At 43.1% G+C, this 17,024-nt stretch overlaps 2 protein-coding genes and 1 long non-coding RNA gene across 56 annotated transcripts in view, besides 3 other annotated features; 2 read left to right on the forward strand and 1 right to left on the reverse strand.

Annotated features, from left to right (window-relative positions):
- The window catches only part of ANKRD6 (ankyrin repeat domain 6), a 200,683-nt gene extending 189,050 nt beyond the window's left edge, over positions 1-11,633 (forward strand). For 36 of the 51 annotated variants that reach the window (XM_047418408.1, XM_047418410.1, XM_047418412.1 and 33 more), the window contains 6 exons: positions 1,209-1,343; positions 1,671-1,856; positions 2,338-2,490; positions 5,382-5,495; positions 6,911-7,037; positions 8,232-11,633. In XM_047418408.1, coding sequence (XP_047274364.1) covers positions 1,851-1,856; positions 2,338-2,490; positions 5,382-5,495; positions 6,911-7,037; positions 8,232-8,803 — 972 coding nt within the window. In that variant the 5' untranslated portion in view covers positions 1,209-1,343; positions 1,671-1,850 and the 3' untranslated portion in view covers positions 8,804-11,633. The remainder of the gene's footprint in view (positions 1-1,208; positions 1,344-1,670; positions 1,857-2,337; positions 2,491-5,381; positions 5,496-6,910; positions 7,038-8,231) is intronic. The other 15 variants (NM_014942.4, XM_047418398.1, XM_047418409.1 and 12 more) reach the window with 2 other exon arrangements.
- Positions 10,023-16,546, reverse strand: LYRM2 (LYR motif containing 2). Of its 4 annotated transcripts, none has more exons than NR_028495.2 (3): positions 16,203-16,284; positions 15,541-15,681; positions 10,023-15,152 (listed from the first exon to the last, which is right to left on the reverse strand). NR_028495.2 is itself a non-coding variant. In NM_020466.5 (3 exons), the coding sequence occupies exons 1-3, from the start codon at positions 16,513-16,515 to the stop codon at positions 15,072-15,074; spliced, it is 267 nt and encodes an 88-aa protein (NP_065199.1). In that variant the 5' UTR covers positions 16,516-16,546; the 3' UTR covers positions 10,023-15,071. The 4 variants fall into 4 exon arrangements, 1 of the variants encoding a protein (NP_065199.1); NR_028494.2 differs by having other exon boundaries at positions 16,071-16,284; NR_028493.2 differs by having other exon boundaries at positions 15,524-15,681; positions 16,071-16,284.
- Positions 15,294-16,493: an enhancer, noted in NCBI's record as "BRD4-independent group 4 enhancer chr6:90347214-90348413 (GRCh37/hg19 assembly coordinates)". NCBI's record gives its function as "activates an origin of replication core promoter dependent on BRD2, P300/CBP, MED14 and CDK7 cofactors, and independent of BRD4, by STARR-seq in HCT116 cells {active_cell/tissue: HCT116}" and the evidence as "EXISTENCE:reporter gene assay evidence [ECO:0000049][PMID:35650434]".
- Positions 15,846-16,075: an enhancer, noted in NCBI's record as "active region_24829". NCBI's record gives its function as "activates an Ori minimal core promoter by ATAC-STARR-seq in GM12878 lymphoblastoid cells {active_cell/tissue: GM12878}" and the evidence as "EXISTENCE:reporter gene assay evidence [ECO:0000049][PMID:35858748]".
- Positions 16,296-16,345: an enhancer, noted in NCBI's record as "active region_24830". NCBI's record gives its function as "activates an Ori minimal core promoter by ATAC-STARR-seq in GM12878 lymphoblastoid cells {active_cell/tissue: GM12878}" and the evidence as "EXISTENCE:reporter gene assay evidence [ECO:0000049][PMID:35858748]".
- MDN1-AS1 (MDN1 antisense RNA 1) overlaps positions 16,331-17,024 on the forward strand; it is a 50,950-nt gene continuing 50,256 nt past the window's right edge. The window contains exon 1 of the long non-coding RNA NR_111915.1: positions 16,331-16,435. This is a non-coding gene — a long non-coding RNA (MDN1 antisense RNA 1). The remainder of the gene's footprint in view (positions 16,436-17,024) is intronic.

The raw sequence follows: 17,024 nt of genomic DNA on the forward strand, positions 1-17,024 counted from the left end.
TCCCCAAGGTTTCAGGCCATGTGCCTCCGTGTGCGCTGCCCATTACCCGTCCAGTACACGTGGGGGGCACACTTACCAGCCCAGGTATCTGTGGCCTTTGCCCATGTCCTGCGGGTAGCACTGCCTCTCTAACACCATGCCCAGATTGTGTAGGGCAGTGGCTCTCAAAATGTGGTGTCCAGTGTGTCACCTGGGACCTTATTAGAAATGATAATTCTTGGGCCTCACCTCAAACCCACAGGATCAGAAACTCGGGTGGGGCCCAGCAATCTGTGTTGGAACAAGCCCTCCAGGGGATTCTCATGGGGACTAAAATTTGAGAGCCACTGGCACAGGCCACTTCCATTGAGGGAGGGGAGCAAGGCTATGCTAGCCTGTATGGCTCCCTTATATGAATTAGAAAAAGATGTCCCCTGGGCAGACCCACTGTGCACAGGGCACGCATGGTGAGCAGAGCCCGAGCTGATTTCAGCTCCTCTTGCCCCACACCTCCACCTCAGCTAGGTGCTCTTGTGCCGTGTAGCCCTGGAATAAACCATGCCTTTGAGTTCACTCAGGAGGGAGAAGTCTGGGATATAGAGACAGCTTTTGGCACAGAAAATGTTATCACCAAGTACTTGCTCTTCTATCTGCTATTTCACAATCCTCTCATCAATTTCCAGGGTTAAGGCATTACAACTCTGATTAACTTCCTAGATGTGAATTGTACATATTCAGTTGTGAACGTTCTCACAAGGACCAGAAATATGATATTTTTTCATTTCAAAGGATTCTTACTCTTTGCCATGAGTGTTGTGGGTTGGGGTGGGGGAGTGGGGGGTGGGGGGGGCGGGAGGGGGGCTGCATCCGAGGTCAAAGAATGAGTGAGTTATGTTTTGTTGAAATCTAAACGATCAAAAATCTCTAATGCTGAGGTGTTTTGTGTCGGGTAGGTTCCTGGTGTTCTACAACATCGAATTGGACCCAGGAATATATTTAGCTTAGGACCTAATAAATACAATAAAAGCCAAATGTTCAACCAACCAGGAAAACGTTCTATGTTAGTTAAGACCACCAAGCAGTGTTTCCTATGTCTGAAATTTATGTTATTTGCAAAGGTTCTCGTGGGTCCCTTACCATATGGAATCTTGCAAAGAATATTTGACCATATTAGTGAAAAAGGCCAAGGAAGCAAACACAATGGGTCTCTGGGCTTTTTCCTTCTGTAGGGCAGTGTCTCAGCAGGAGACACCCCCAGCAGTGAACAGGCTGTGGCCAGAAAAGAAGAAGCCAGAGAAGAGTTCCTGTCAGCCTCCCCAGAACCCAGAGCAAAGGATGACAGGAGGAGAAAGTCAAGGCCCAAGGTCAGGAGACACAGAAAGCAGCCCAGAGGGGTGGCTGGGAGGCAGGGTGGCGAGGGTCCTGGCAGAGCGTCATGCCCATCAGCTAAAAAGCCACTCACTTGGCTGGCTGGTTTGGAGCCAGAGCACAGAAATTAAATCTGGCTAACATCAGACATAAGGTGAATGTGCTGATATATTTCTTTTGACATGTGTGGCTTGGAGTAGGACACCATGAGGTGAAACAAAGTGGGGCTCTTTGCCCAAATGGGGTGACATGGGCGCCACCGACTGGTGTCAGTCTTGCAGAGGTCAAAGCGTTCAGGGGTGTTGTCTCTTCCTCTCTTACAGGTGTCAGCATTTTCTGACCCCACCCCACCAGCCGACCAACAGCCTGGACACCAGAAGAACCTGCATGCTCATAATCACCCTAAAAAGAGGAACAGGCATCGGTGTTCATCCCCACCCCCACCCCATGAGTTCAGGGCGTATCAGCTCTACACATTGTACCGGGGCAAGGATGGGAAAGTGATGCAGGTACCTGCAAAGCAGTGTCAGGAGAAGGGAACATAGGCCTTCAGCAAGGGTTTTTGTTTAACGGCATTCCTGGGGGCTGATAGGCACTTTAGGCATTGACTTAGTTGAGCACAAGCTTTGAAGGTAAGCCAGATGGCCTCCCCACCTGCACGGTGCAGATCCACTCCTGCTGCTAAGGCCAAGGCAGACAGGGTGTGTAGCTGCAGAGCTTGCTGCACAATCCTCAGGTGACTAGGTATCTTGAGGCCCCAGGGTATATAAAAGCACCTTGAGGAGAGGGACCATATCTTACCCTCTGAATTTTAGTGTCTGCTACACCCAAAATTTGGCCTATAAGATGTTCCAAAGTTATGACAAGGATGAGCCTATCTCTTCCATCATCTCTATCCCCTGGTATACTGCCTGGCACGTGGATGGTGCTCAAAACATACCTGATGAAGGAATGAACAAGGGATTGATTCCTTTTTTGTTTCTCTCTTAGGCACCAATAAATGGTTGTCGATGTGAACCTCTAATCAACAAGCTGGAGAATCAGTTGGAGGCTACTGTGGAGGAGATAAAAGCAGAGCTGGGATCGGTTCAGGACAAAATGAATACAAAGCTGGGGCAGATGGAGAATAAGACCCAGCACCAAGTATGTCATAAGGCCCAGCTTCCTAATTGCAAGGTGTTCTGGCAGAACATGAACTCAGGAACCAACTTCGACTTTAGCACACCCTTCCACCCTGGGAGTGTCCAGTGGGCTGTCAGGGAAGAGGCCTGCTTCTGCTTATGTGATTTTGTTAAAGTACATTTATTTCAGCTTTTTAAAGAACATGTTTAAATTGCTTATTATAGAAATAAGATATCCCCATTACAGAGCATTTTTAGAAATATGAAAATTAGGAAAATAAATCACCTATAAGCCCACTGTGCTGAAAAGCACTGTTAATATTTGGGTTTAGGCTGGGAATGGTGGCTCACACCTGTAATCCCAGCACTTTGGGAAGCCAAGGCAGGCAGATCACTTGAGGTCAGGAGTTCGAGACCAGCCTGGCCAACATGGTGAAACCCCGCCTCTTCTAAAAATACAAAAATTAGCCTGGTGTGGTGGCACACACCTATAATCCCAGCTACTCGGGAGGCTGAGGCATAAGAATTGCTTGAACCTGGGAGGTGGAGGTTGTAGTGAGCAGAGATCATTCCAGTGCACTCCAGCCTGGGTGACAGAGCAAGACTCTGTCTAGAAAAAAAAAAAAATTAGAGTTTATCTTTTTTGAGTTTTTTTATATGTCAATCTTTTTATATGTCAATTTTTGCTACACTCCTTTCCCATTGCATACAAAATTAGAATAATTATGTATTTTTTTCTTTTCCCAACTTTTTATTTTAAAAGTTTTCAAACATACAGAAAAGTTCACAGAATAATGGAGTGAATGCTTGTATATAATCCCTGTAGTCAGCCAGTTAATATGTTGCTGCATTTGCCTTGTCTCTCTGACACACATGTTTTTTTAACTCTTGAACTATTTCAGATTTAGTTGCAGACTGTCCTGACAGGGCATCTCTAAATATTTCAGAATGTTTAGAATAAGAATAACACTTTCAACTTCATAACAATATTGCTTTCACACCTGAGAAAACGTTATCCAGCCCATATTCAGATTTTCTCGGTTTTCGTAAAATAGTATTTGTTACAACTTTTTTTTTTTTTTTTTTTTAGATGGGGTCTGACTCTGTCACCTAGAGTGCAGTGTGGCAATCTCAGCTCACTACAGCCTCTGCCTCCTGGGTTCAAGCGATTCTCCCACCTCAGTCTGCTGAGTAGCTGGGACTAAGGCGGACGCCACCATGCCCACCTAATTTTTGTATTTTTTTGGTAGAGACGGGGTTTCACCACGTTGGCTAGGCTGGTGTCAAACTCCTGGGCTCAAGCGCCTCGCCTGCCTTGGCCTCCCAAGGTGCTGGGATTTTAGGTGTGATCCACCATGCCCTGCCCTTTTTTTAAAAAAGTTTTTGCCAAATTGATTAAGGACATTTTACTGTTTAAGTTTTATTTCCTTGTTTACTGGTAAGATGAAACATTTTTAAGGCTTATTTGCTATCTGTATTTTATAGAAAGGCCATTTTAAAAATATTTTCTTAGGTCAATAATAGATTAGTGAAGACTGTTTTGTATATAAAAACCCCACTTCGCCTAGCCTAAGCTGAAAGAGGAATGAGAGATGAATGTTGGGATACCTCAAGGGCCTCACTTCAGTTCAAGGGAGTGACAGATTGGGGTGTAGAATCTTAGTCCTCCTTCCAAATCACCAAGAAAGGACCGTGGCACCCTTGAGTCAGATGCTCATACCCGAGCCAGTTAGTGTGACCTGTGAACAAAGCAATGTATACCTATGGCTGCTCTTGAAAACAGCCACCTGGAGGAAGAGGTTAAGGGAGTGGGGAGAGTAGGCCAATCCTAGAAAACAGGAGGAGCACAGGTCACAGGAAAACATGGACTGAAGAGAAAAACAGAAGGTGCTCACCACGTCTCCAGAACGGATGTTTCTTTTTTCTTAATGTTTTGAACATCTGGGTGTGGAATGCCACGTGTGTCCCTGACAGGAGGGGAGCTCACCAGTGAGCCTTCGCGGATTGGCTCTTCCTAACAATAGTTCCTTTCATTCTTTGGTCCTTGTCAAAGCAGTGAAAGTTTGGCCCTCCTAGGTGTAGGGGTCCCACAGGAAATGCCAAGATGAAGGGTACTCCAGAAGGGCATGTGATTAAAAAGTGACAACTGCTTGTTCTCTGAAGCAATCCTTTAAGTTCCTTCTACACTCTTCTTACGTACTTTAGCTACTTCCAATGAAGCACCAAAAATATTTGCTCACTGCAAGAGCCGGATAAAAGCTCATTTTACTGCCTTGTAGGCAACCACTAACATTTTTTAAAGTGGGGTTGGGGAAGAGAAAAATCTCCATACTTTGAGATGTAGTTTTTTCTTACAGTAGTCTGGGAAATAATGTTTTAAGGCCTACAAGGCCTGCATGGGCTCAGGTTGTGTATTTACTGGATATTCAGAGTCTCTCTCTCTTTTTTTTTTTTTTGGCTCACTGCAACCTCTGCCTTCCAGGTTCAAATGATTCTCCTGCCTCAGCCTCCCAAGTAGCTGGGACTACAGGCATGTGCCACCACACCCGGCTAATTTTTGTATTTTTAGTAGAGATGGGGTTTCGCCATGTTGGCCAGGCTGGTTTCAAACTCCTGACCTCAGGTGGTGGGAGTATGGCGCACCACGCCTGGCCTGTATATTCATAGTCCTTATACCTCTTAAACTTTAACAAATAAGATTTTTTAAAAAACGAAACGTTGGCCTCATAGAAACATGCTCAAGAATTCTGAAAGAGTTCCATGAGTCCTACATGCAAATGGAATCAGATAAGGGGTTGAAGTTTGCATGCAGGGGCTCCTACTTGGTTCCCCAAGCCCCTCTGCAGGAGCTGAGAAGCCAGGGCTCACCCTGAGATCATCTCAGTCTTACACTCTGCTCCACTTCACTCCTAGATGCGTGTTTTGGACAAGCTGATGGTTGAGCGACTTTCTGCAGAGAGGACGGAGTGCCTGAACCGCCTGCAACAGCACTCAGACACAGAGAAGCATGAGGGGGAGAAACGACAGGTAGGAACCAGCATCTGCTAGTCCTTAACTTATGATTTACCACACAGGCCCACTGAGCTCAGGCAGGCCTGCCACTGAAAACTCAGAGGCTGAGACTCCCTAAGAGCTTTTACATTATATAGTGTATCATTTTTATGATACTGAAATGAGGTTAATAGAAAAGAACCTGTAGTTCTGTTTATGTCCGTGGCTGAATATGCTGGCAACAGATGAAGACCGAACATGCTGGGGAAGATGCCATTTCTGTCCTGAACTCATTCCATGTATTGTGCATTGTTAGGCCATTACAGTTTTAGAACAAGACATAGTTTCTACCCTCAGGGAGTTTACTGTCTCACCAAGATAAGAGACATGGAATGAGTACAGTGAGTGTGTGAGAACTCAGGCTTTCTAAGCAACCAGAAGTACTTGGTTTGGAAGATTTGGGTGGTTTTGGGGGTTGAGTTTAAGGTGGCTCTAGTCACTTAATGAAGATTGTAGATAGCTCTCTGCTTGGGTGCCTGCTGTGGCCTATAGGAAGGTGGCTTAATCTGTCTGTGTTGCTATAAAGGAATACCTGAGGCTGGGTAATTTGTAAAGAAGAGAGTTCTTTGGCTTATGGTTCTGCAGGCTGTACAAGAAGCATGCTGCCAACATCTGCATCTGGTGAGGGCCTCAGGAAATTCCACTCATGGTAGAAGGTAAAGGGGAGCTGGTATGCACAGATCACCTAGCGAGACAAGAGGCAAGAGAGACAGGAGGGAGGTGCCAGGCTGTTTTAAGCAACCAACTCCTTCAAAAACTAATAGAGCGGATGGGCGCAGTGGCTCACGCCTGTAATCCCAGCACTTTGGGAGGCCTAGGTGGGCGGATCACGAGGTCAGGAGATCGAGACCATCCTTGCTAACATGGTGAAACCCCACCTCTACTAAGGATACAAAAAACTTAGTCAGGCGTGGTGGTGGACACCTGTAGTCCCAGCTACTCGGGAGGCTGAGGCAGGAGAATGGCGTGAACCCAGGAGGCAGAGCTTGCAGTGAGCCGACATCGTGCCACTGCACTCCAGCCTGGGCGACAGAGCGAGACTTCCATCTCAAAAAACAAACAAACAAACAAAAAAAAAAACTAATAGAGCAAGAACTTACTAACCGTGAGGATGGTACCAAGCCAGTCATGAGGCATTCACCCCCTTGACACAAACACCTCCCATGAGGCCCCACCTCCAACACTGGGGATCAAATTTCAACATGAGATTTGGAGGGGTCAAATATCCAAACCATAGCAGTGGGCAAGCCATAACTTTTGGGTTTGTTAGATGGTATCCTCAACTGTTATAATTGAAAAGTCCATCCTTGATGCTTTAATTCATAAACCATGTATCAAATTCACTTGATTCTTCTATGTACTTATTTGTGGGGTTTGTTTTTTTTTTTAAGATATCCTTGGTGGATGAATTAAAAACCTGGTGCATGTTAAAGATTCAGAATCTGGAGCAGAAGCTTTCTGGAGATTCTAGGGCCTGCAGAGCTAAATCCACACCATCTACTTGTGAGTCCTCTACAGGTAACCCACACACAGAGAGCCCTTTTGTCCAAAAGGAACACGACCAGCAGCTCTTGTACTCTCCTGCACTGAAAGGCAGTACGTATGCTAGGGCTGTGGGAAACACTGGATGGTAAAGTGCACTCTGTAGGGGCAAGGACTGTATTTTGCTCGTAACCATATACTCAGTTGCTATGTAATAATAAAGCACTCATTTATGTGCTCAAACTTATTTGAATAAAGGAATTAAAGAATTGTTGACTGGTGATAACATTGCCTTGAGTACAGTGTTGATAGTATCAGAGTGGACCCCAAAGATGAGAGGTGATGAAGATCCATCGGTCTCCTCAGCAGGGCTCTTCCTCCCTTGCCTTTTGTGCCTTTTACCTCTTCCTTCTCTTTGATCTGCCTTTTACTTTTGTCCAACTATGCAAATCCTCATTAAACAGCAGTTCTTACATAGAACTTGCCCCCAGTGCTAGATAGGAAATGCTGCAAGCAAACCATCTTTACATTAGCCACAGTGATTATACTCAATAATGACAATTTTGAGGACATTCAGAGCCTGGGTAACTAGGCCTCAGTGGGGGATTTTGATATAAGTGCTTTGTGTTACCACAGGCCATCTCTGGAACTGTGGTTTCATCTTTGTGTCAACAACATGGGGAAACATCCCAGGAAAATGTTTCATGCTAGGACTACTCTTAGGGCTTGTCGTGGAGCTCTGGGTGTGGAAAATGGGGCCTCCTTTCCAAATTGGAGCTTGGGTCAAGCAGTTAGTACACTGGTAGGGAATAGGCCCAGACATTAGAGAATGGGAATACATATTCTCATAGATAAATGTCCAAATCTGCTTTGAGATACTTGGTGAGCGGCATCATCCTTAGGCATCAGGAAACAGGACCAGAGCCTTCTCAGGTAGATTGAGGCGGGCTGAAGGAAAAGCCAGCAACTTTTTTGGCTTAAATGGGACCAGTGTGGCTAACACAGAATCCATGAAAGCTCTGACAAGCCAAAGTGATCATCAGAGGAGACAAAGTGGAAGGGAGGAACAGAAAGGTGAGAAAAGGCTCAGAGGAGACGTTACACATGGTGGGTGGTGATGGAGAAGGCTGGTGATATACAGGATCCTTAAGACTCTAAAATACTGACCCGCAGCCATATGACTGTGTGAATGTGGATTTGCTCTCACGTTTGTTTTCCTTCTGAAACCAGGTGTGGACCAATTAGTGGTGACTGCAGGTCCAGCAGCAGCTTCCGACAGCTCCCCTCCAGTGGTTAGGCCCAAAGAGAAGGCCCTCAACTCCACTGCTACCCAGAGACTCCAGCAGGAGCTGTCGTCTTCTGACTGTACAGGCTCCCGACTGAGAAACGTCAAGGTCCAGACAGCCTTGCTACCCATGAATGAGGCAGCCAGATCTGATCAGCAGGCTGGGCCCTGCGTCAACAGAGGCACTCAAACTAAGAAGTCTGGGAAGAGTGGGCCAACAAGGCATCGTGCCCAGCAACCCGCAGCCAGCAGCACCTGTGGGCAGCCGCCACCAGCCACAGGCAGCGAGCAGACTGGCCCTCACATTCGGGACACCTCCCAAGCTCTGGAGCTTACCCAGTATTTTTTTGAGGCTGTTTCTACCCAGATGGAAAAGTGGTATGAAAGGAAGATTGAAGAAGCACGAAGCCAAGCCAATCAGAAAGCCCAGCAAGATAAGGCTACATTGAAGGAACACATTAAAAGTTTAGAAGAGGAACTTGCCAAACTAAGGACTAGGGTGCAGAAGGAAAATTAGCACCAATAAAGAGGAAATATGAAAGGATTCTTGAAGATTTCCAGTTTTGCAACTGCATAATAGCTATGCCCAAGGAGTCAACTATTGTATATATTGCAGATTTGCCTTTTTAAAAAAATCACTAATTCTACAATGTGCCAGATACATGTTTCCTATGCCCAGGAAGTTATGAAGACTTCAACAATTAAACTGAAACCAGGGGAAGCTTGCTTAGTTTTGGGTTTCATTATAAACTCTTAGCCTCAGTCCAGGTTAATCTGAAGTTTGAAAGCTCAGATTAAGCAAGCCATGCCAAGAAACTGGACGATGTGTAAGCCTAGACTCTAAAATTCAAGATGTGTGAAATAATATAAGTCAAAAGCAAGAAAAACGTAATCCCGTCTGAACTCAAGTAGTCATTCATATAAATTTGAACACACCTGCTGTGCCTAGACAAGTGTCTTTCTGTAAGAGCTGTAACTCTGAGATGTGCTAAATAAACCCTCTTTCTCAAATTCGTAATTCTCCAACTGTTGACATTTTAATCACATGAAAAGTTATCAGATTTTTGAGGAGAAATATTTTCATGATGTCACAAGATCCAATATATCTTATGATAAAATTTATTGAAAAGTCAGTTTATTTAAATAATGAATAATTGGCTAACAGCTCTGGAAACAATGAGATCAAATGAGAAAGATTCAAATTGTTTGTTATTTTCTGTATTTTCAGTCAAAAAATCAGTTATATAGTGATTTTAAAGCAGATTAATGGAAAAAAATTCATGTAACAATTACCTGAAAATTTATAACCTATTCCTAATCAAACCCAATTATATCAGAATACCTTTCTGAATTTGAGATTTTTGCTCTACATTTTATAATGAATAAGGCTATTTTTTGAAAGTATTTCATTTTGAATTCTGTCATTAACCTCAAAAGCTTTCTACTGCTTTGCGGTGAAGGCAAAATATTCGATAACTCAACTTAGGCCCCACTGTTCCCCAACTTCATGGAGGCCAGAAGACTTTACTTTGTTCCATAATGAAATATAAACACAGAACAAAGTTGTAAAAGTAGCATGGATATGTTGAAACTTTGGACAAGCTTCTTGTCCTTTGGAATATGGGATTTATATTCATCTCCTCAATATCCCATGTATGCACAGAAACTTCAGTTCTATTTCTATAGACACAGGAACCTAGTGACTATTGAACGTAATTGTAATAAAATGCTGCTCATTGAGCCAAAGAGAAGAAATGATTTATTAACATGGGGACACCAAGAAAAACAAAGTATGCTTTTATTCCCTTTGTCAAGCTCAGTTTTAGGGTTTTTTCTTTTTTTTATAGTGACAATCCATAGATATAGACATTCCTAAAAGAAAAATAATTCAGTAGATATATGTCACTGTTACCTGAATATGGAATGAATTTGATGTTTTTTATTTTGTTGAGACAGGGTCTTGCTCTGTCACCCAGACTGGAGTGCAGTGGCATGATCACACCTCACTGCAGCCTTGGCCTCTCAGGCTCGTGATCCTCCTGCCTCAACCTCGCAAGTAGCTTGGGACTACAGGCGTGTGCCACCAGTCCTGGCTAATTTTTTGTAGATATAAGGTCTCATGATATTGCCCAGGCTGAATTTGATGTTATTTCAAGTTGATTTTCATGTGTTTGGGAGCTTGTCTTGTTCTCAACTACTACGCAGGTAGACAGTCTTCCCCCAGAGACTCATTAGATTGCAATATAGAGGCACTTTCTCATTTCCCTATTGTTCCTAATACAGAATTGTAGAGCTGGAGAGTACCTTCAGTTTTCTAAATCTATTCTCAAACAGGATATCACTAACCTCTTTAGAATCATTCCTCAGTATACATCAATTTATTGAGAACTGCCTAATACTCAAGAAATTAAATCCTGAGTTCAGTAGGCTGTGTTCCAAGCAGGAATTATTTTCACTTACCAAAATATCTCCTATTACCTCAAGGTATCCTTGTTGAGGAATGCTGAAAACTAAATTTTAAGTATCAAGTCTAGACCATAGAGTGCTTTGGTGGGAGTATTTTGATTACCTCCTACCCATCAGAAGCAGGCAGCTAATATTGTGAACTGAGTATTTTTGTCAAAAGTCACAGGGAAGAGACTACAGAAGAATGAGAAGGGTCAAAAGGACCTAGTGTGGCTTACTACATGGATCTTGTCTCTTGGAGGTCTGTCGTAGAAGAAGAAACAAATAGAGGTGATGAAGACACAGAACAGGCTCAGTCAGCATCCTCACCCAGAGATGGCAACATCTATTAAGACCAATGCAATACCTTTTCATCTTCAGCAAATGTTGTTTCATCTGTTTTTGATCCTTGGCATTGTCAAAAACTTAACTGCAGGTCCAGTGTATATTTTTCCTTATTTTTCCCTTTTAGCTATCTGCTAAAGTGAGTAAATGCCACAACTGTACTTTTCCAAAGAAAAAGAACTATTGACAACTTATAGCCTGTCATGCAGGTCATGTTTCAAATCAAGGCTGAAATTTTCAACAGCTGTGGGAAAAACTAAAACACAGAAATACTGTACAGTATTAGTGTTTTTTTAAAGAAATTGTTAGTGCATTATTGAGTATACTAAATATCTGTGATTAAATAAATTAGTTCTAACTTTTGATTTTGGGAGCCCAAAATAAAGGGAGTGTTGTTTTCATGGTTATGCCTTGTTTGTGGAGTCAAGTGTTGATATACTTGAGGCATGTTATGTGTCTTCTAATTAATATTTTTATCACCTTGAATTTGTGTCTCTTCCAAGCATTAAAGATACTATGGATCTTAAATTCCTTATTAAAAAAATGCAAGTGTGAATACTTTGTTTAGCTTACATTTTAATTTATTGTGGTTGACCACATTTTATGGCTCCTGAGTGCCTTCACCCAGCTACACTTTACCTTGTATCTATAAAAGTGTAATTTAGAGTAAATACATTGGCTGTAAAGTCGCGATCAGGTGCTCTCCACCAAAAGCAAAACAAAACTGCTGAAATGTGGCAAGGTTTCTCAGTGCAAGCTTAAATGTTTAAACTGTTGACCATTTGGAAAATACTGGACAAAGGGGAAGGACAAAACATCATTTGCAATAGTTAAAGGTTATGCAAGGCAAGGCAACATTATACTTTTTGACTAAGTTATTAAAAGTTAAATGCATTTCTTCTTTGAAGTGTGGATTATAAAAGCCAATCAAAGACAAAACCAGTTTGAAAAACCTTTTGTATTCTACAATACCTTTTATGAGTAAGAGTAAAACATACATTTCTTATTTGTAATTTTATTTAAGGAGAAATACTCTTTCCCTTTGATACGACTATAATATTATAAACAGCAAGGAATATGTTCTGCTTTCTGCAATTTTAGAAAGTCATTCCATTCTGGGTGACAGAATGAGGTAAGACTGTCTCTTTAAAAAAAAAAACAACTCACACCTGTAATCCTAGCACTCTGGCCACCGAGGCAGGTGGATTGCTTGAGCCCAGGAGTTTGAGACTAGCCTGGCAACAAAGTGAGATTCCCCCTCCTCTCTCTGAAAAGTAAAAAAAATTAGCCGGTCATGGTGGCACATGCCTGTGGTCCCAGCTAAATGAAAATCTGAAGCAGGTGGATCTCTTGAGCCCAGGAGCTCAAGGTTGCAGTGAGCCATGTTCGCGCCACCACACTCCAGCTTGTGCAACAGAGACCCTGTCTCAAAAAAAAGTCATCTGTGTGTTTCTTGCAGGCACATCTATGGCAATGCTTGTACCATGAATTTAAAACTTCTAACTTGATGGCACTTTTTTATTTTTTTTGAGACAAGAGTCTCACTCTTTCGCCCAGGCTGTAGTGCAGTAGTGTGTTCTCGGCTCACTGCAGCCTCTGCCTCCCGGGTTCAATATGAGGCAGCCCTCCTGAGTAGCTGGAATTACAGGCACGTGCCACCAGGTTAGGCTAGCTAGTGGCCTAGCTAGTCTCGAAATCCTGACCTAAAGTGATCCACCCACCTCAGCCTCCCAAAGTGTGTGGATTACTTGTGTAAGCCACAGTGCCCGGCCTTACCTGCTTTAAAAAACAAAAAAACTTAGGTTTTCTTGGAGTCTGTGCTAGTTGAATCTTGCAAATGCAAACCACATACGCTCTTTAATGAAAACCTTTCCATGCACACCACTGTTAGGAAGAGCATCATTAAATCACTGACTTCTACACCCATAAAAGGATGATTTTGAGTTTCAAGATTTTAGATTTACTAGAGATAGCATGTATCTATCAATCATGTCACACAAAAAATATTTCCAAAGTGTTCTCTGTTCAGAAACGTCACAAATGCTTCTGTTTGTCAGATCATTTTGCAACAGGTTAACTAATACTTATCTACATAAAAACCTGAAAATTGGCACAGGCAGGCATTTTGAATTAGTAGATTACCCCCATGGAACAGTATTCAGAATTATTTTGTCTTGTGGGCTCTGAGGCTCTGGGAGGTAGAGGTGGACCCTGACAGTCCAGGTCATTAACATCCACATTCAGTTGATGCCTCTCAGACACAGTCCAGTACTGGATACCATTTATCATTCTGCAAAATGTTGTCTACATCTTTCAGGTGCTGGTCATTCTTAGATTAGCTTCTTAGCTGTTCTGTTGATAAACAGAAGACTTCAATTTTCAGGATGGATGATTCCAACATCTTCCACAAGCTTTCACTTTCACTAAATTATTTTGTTATAAATTTGATCTCCTTCAAAAGTGCCTTGAAGTCAATTTTGGTTGTAATGTATTTGTCTCTGACGTATTCTTCAAATTCTCTTTGTTTTTTTTCCTGTCATTGGAGAACTGCACCCAGAATCTTATTTTTACTACTTCCATGTGAATGTTAAGGTACTCACAGAGGTTTCATCCAGAAGTCTTCCCTCTTCTTTCTGGTAAGTGCTTCAATGTGCTCATTAAGCTTCTCTTTCTCTTCCCTTTTCAACAAAGATCTAGATTCCCAGTGGTGATCTTTTTGATGAGTTCTCTATCAAACTATGACACATCTGAAGAACGTACCTGAACAACCCTCAGGGATAATGCAGGATTTTTCGAGAAAGTTCCAGGGTATCTCCTGGTGTCAGTATACTTTCAGTCCTACACCTCAAGAGTTTTTTAATAACAGCTTTATTGAGATACAATTCATACCTTACATTTAAAATGTACAGTTCAGTGGATTTGAATATATTCAAGAGTTGTGCAGCCTACACCACAAGCTAACTGTAGGATATTTTCATCACCCTGAAAAGGAACCCTACACCCATTAGCAGTTACTCCATTCCATCTACAGCCAGCCTAGGCAACCACTAATCTTTCTGCCTATTCTGGACATTTCGTATGAATGGAATCATCATGTGATCTTTTGTGACCGGCTTCTTTCACTTAACGTTTTCAAGGTTTATCCATGTTTAGTATATATAAGTCCTTCGTTTCTTTTTAGTGCCAAATAATGGCTATGGGCATGGGGTAGAAGTGCTAACTCATACAGCAGCTGTTTCATCTTTTGAGGAACTGACCGTCTGTTTTCTGAAGTGGCTACACCATTTTACATTCCCACCAGCAATGTATGAGGGTTCTGTAATTTCTGTACATCTTCACCAAGACTTATTATTATTTCTCTTTTTAATTACAGCCATTCTAGTGAATGTGAATCTCAGGGTTGTTTTTTTTTTTTTTTTTTAGAGACTGTCTCACTCTGTCACCCAGGCTGAAGTGCAGTGGCACGACCTCAGCTCACTGCAACCTCCACTTCCTGGGTTCAAGTGATTCTCCTGCCTCAGCCTCCCAAGTAGCTGGGACTACAGGCAATGCACCACCACACCAAGCTAATTTTTGTATTTTTAGTAGAGATGAGGTTTCACCATGCTGGCCAGGCTGGTCTTGAACTCCTGACCTCAAGTGATCCACCTACCACAGCCTCCTAAAGTACTGGGATTACAAGCATGAGCCACTACACCCGACCTCATAGTAGTTTTGATTTACACTTCCCTAATGATTGTGTCCAGCATCTACTGGCCATTTGTTAGTGGTTTTTTTCTTCTTTTAAGAACTGCTGAGACATCCATAAACATTTTCAAAATGCAGGGTATGTTTTTCAGTGTTAAGGCAACTGTTCTGATGTGTTTTTCCTTTGCTCTCTATCACCAAATACTGTACATATAAATAGTAAGACTGGGCTTTGTGTTGTCCATTGTTAATCCTAAATGCAACAAAACACATGGAGACTTTGAAAATCCTTCAGAATAATGCTATAGTTAAGATTTTGCTAAAGCAAGTGTTTTTTCTAACTCCTTGAGCTGCATATTGCCTTGAGTAATCATCATCCGGATTGTATCCTGTAGAATAAAGTGAAATCTGGTTATAGTTTTACCTGGTTAAACAAGGTATAGCTATACCATTTTATCTGTTAAAATCAAGAACCAATACTACCTATTGGAACTGCTGCCTTTTAGAAAAGCTAAAAGAGTTCCACATACATACATATAAAATGTACAACATAAAAGTCAAGTGATGATGCTGAAGAGTGTAGATACTCTTTTATCTACATATTTTAAAATACTAAATTTTAAAATAATAATTTAAAATCGGTAACATTACAAGCAATGATCAAGATATACCAGCTCAGTGGCACTATATTCCAAGATGTCTGCTAAACTTAAAAAAAAAAATTCACTGATCAATAAAAAGGGTTAGGATCTGTCCTCACCATGATTTTGTTCTCACCTCTTCGGTGGCACTTTTGTTTCTTCTGAATTCTTCTCTTGCCCAATCTTTCAGGTATTTGCGATCAGAATCATTTGGAACTTGCCGAATTGTTTGCAAAATCCTTCTGTAGAGGAGAAGAACTTGTTGCCTTCTTACGAACTGTAAAAGGGAGGAGTAAATAGCAATTACTACTGCACAATCGCCAGCCTGGAAAGTTCTACTTCAGCAAACCAAGCTGTAACCAGAGTACTTCTCGTTGGTCAATTTTGAAAAAGGCAAAGAAAAACTTTTTTTTTTCTTTTTTTGGCCAGATGCAGTGGCTCAGGCCTGTAATCCCAGCACTTTGGGAGGCCAAGATGGGAGGATCACTTGAGCCCAGGAGGTCTAAGCTGAGGTAAGCCTTCATTGCGCTACTGCACTCAGCCTGGGCGAGAGTGAGGCCCTGTCTCAAAAAGATGTTTTAAAGAAAGCATCACGAGGTTCATCTGATCTTTTTGCTTACTGCTCTGTCAAACCTAAGAACCATTAAAAAATCAGGAGCTGCCTACCGGGCTGAAAAGGGCTGCCGGTCTCCTAGAAGTTGTTATTACAACGACAGCACTTTTTCTAAATTAACAGTTGTTCAAATCTTTGGTAATCTCATTTGCTGTTTGCCACAGCTCAGTGCAATAGACTTTTACCGTGGGCACTGGGCAGCTGAGGCACCGGGACTCAGGGAAATCAAGCGCCTGACGCTGTCTCACGCGATCGCACCAAACCAAGGAAGCAGCCAGTGCCTCCCGTCAGGCCCCGCGGAGCGAAGCACCGCCCCGCAGGCATCGGGCCAATCTCAGAGGGCGCGCACGCCGCATCAGGACCCCGGAACCCGCCCCGTTGGGGATAGGGACAGATGGAGAATCCAGCTCAGACCCAGGTAAGCTGCTTTGGAAGGCAGAGAACCGCCGGTACCTGCTTTAACGTTAGCGTCGCTGGGGGTAAGCGGGAAGCAGCCATGTCCACCAGAGGTCCGCCGGAGCCTCAGCGCGCAGGAGCGGAAGTGGGGTTCGACCAAGGGGTGTGGCGAGCCCGGTTTCCTAGGAGACGGCCCGCGGGTTGCTCTCGGACTGAGAGCGCGAGGCTTCGGGACTGAGCCCTAGCTGCTGCGCTGGCCGAAGTTTTCTCGTCGGTAAAATAGGATAACAGTGCACCATAGGGTCGTTTTGATAAAGAAGAAAGGTAGGGCACTTAACACAGTTCCTGGTAAAGAGAGTTCAAATGAAAGTGAAGGAGGCCGGGCGCGGTGGCTCTCACCTGCAGTCCCAAGCACTCTGGGAGGCCTGTAAGGTGCCTGTAATCCCAGCTCCTCGGGATGCTGAGGCAGGAGAATCGCTTGAACCCGAGAAGTGAAGGTTGCAGTGATCCGAGATCGCACCACTGCACTCCATCCTGGGCGACAGAGCGAGACCCTGTCTCGAAAAAAAAGTTAAGGTTTTTTTGGGGGAAAGAGGTGAAAACGTATTTAA

This window comes from Homo sapiens, chromosome 6 (genome assembly GCF_000001405.40).
Source record: "Homo sapiens chromosome 6, GRCh38.p14 Primary Assembly".
In the NCBI taxonomy this organism is placed as follows: Eukaryota; Metazoa; Chordata; class Mammalia; order Primates; family Hominidae; genus Homo; species Homo sapiens.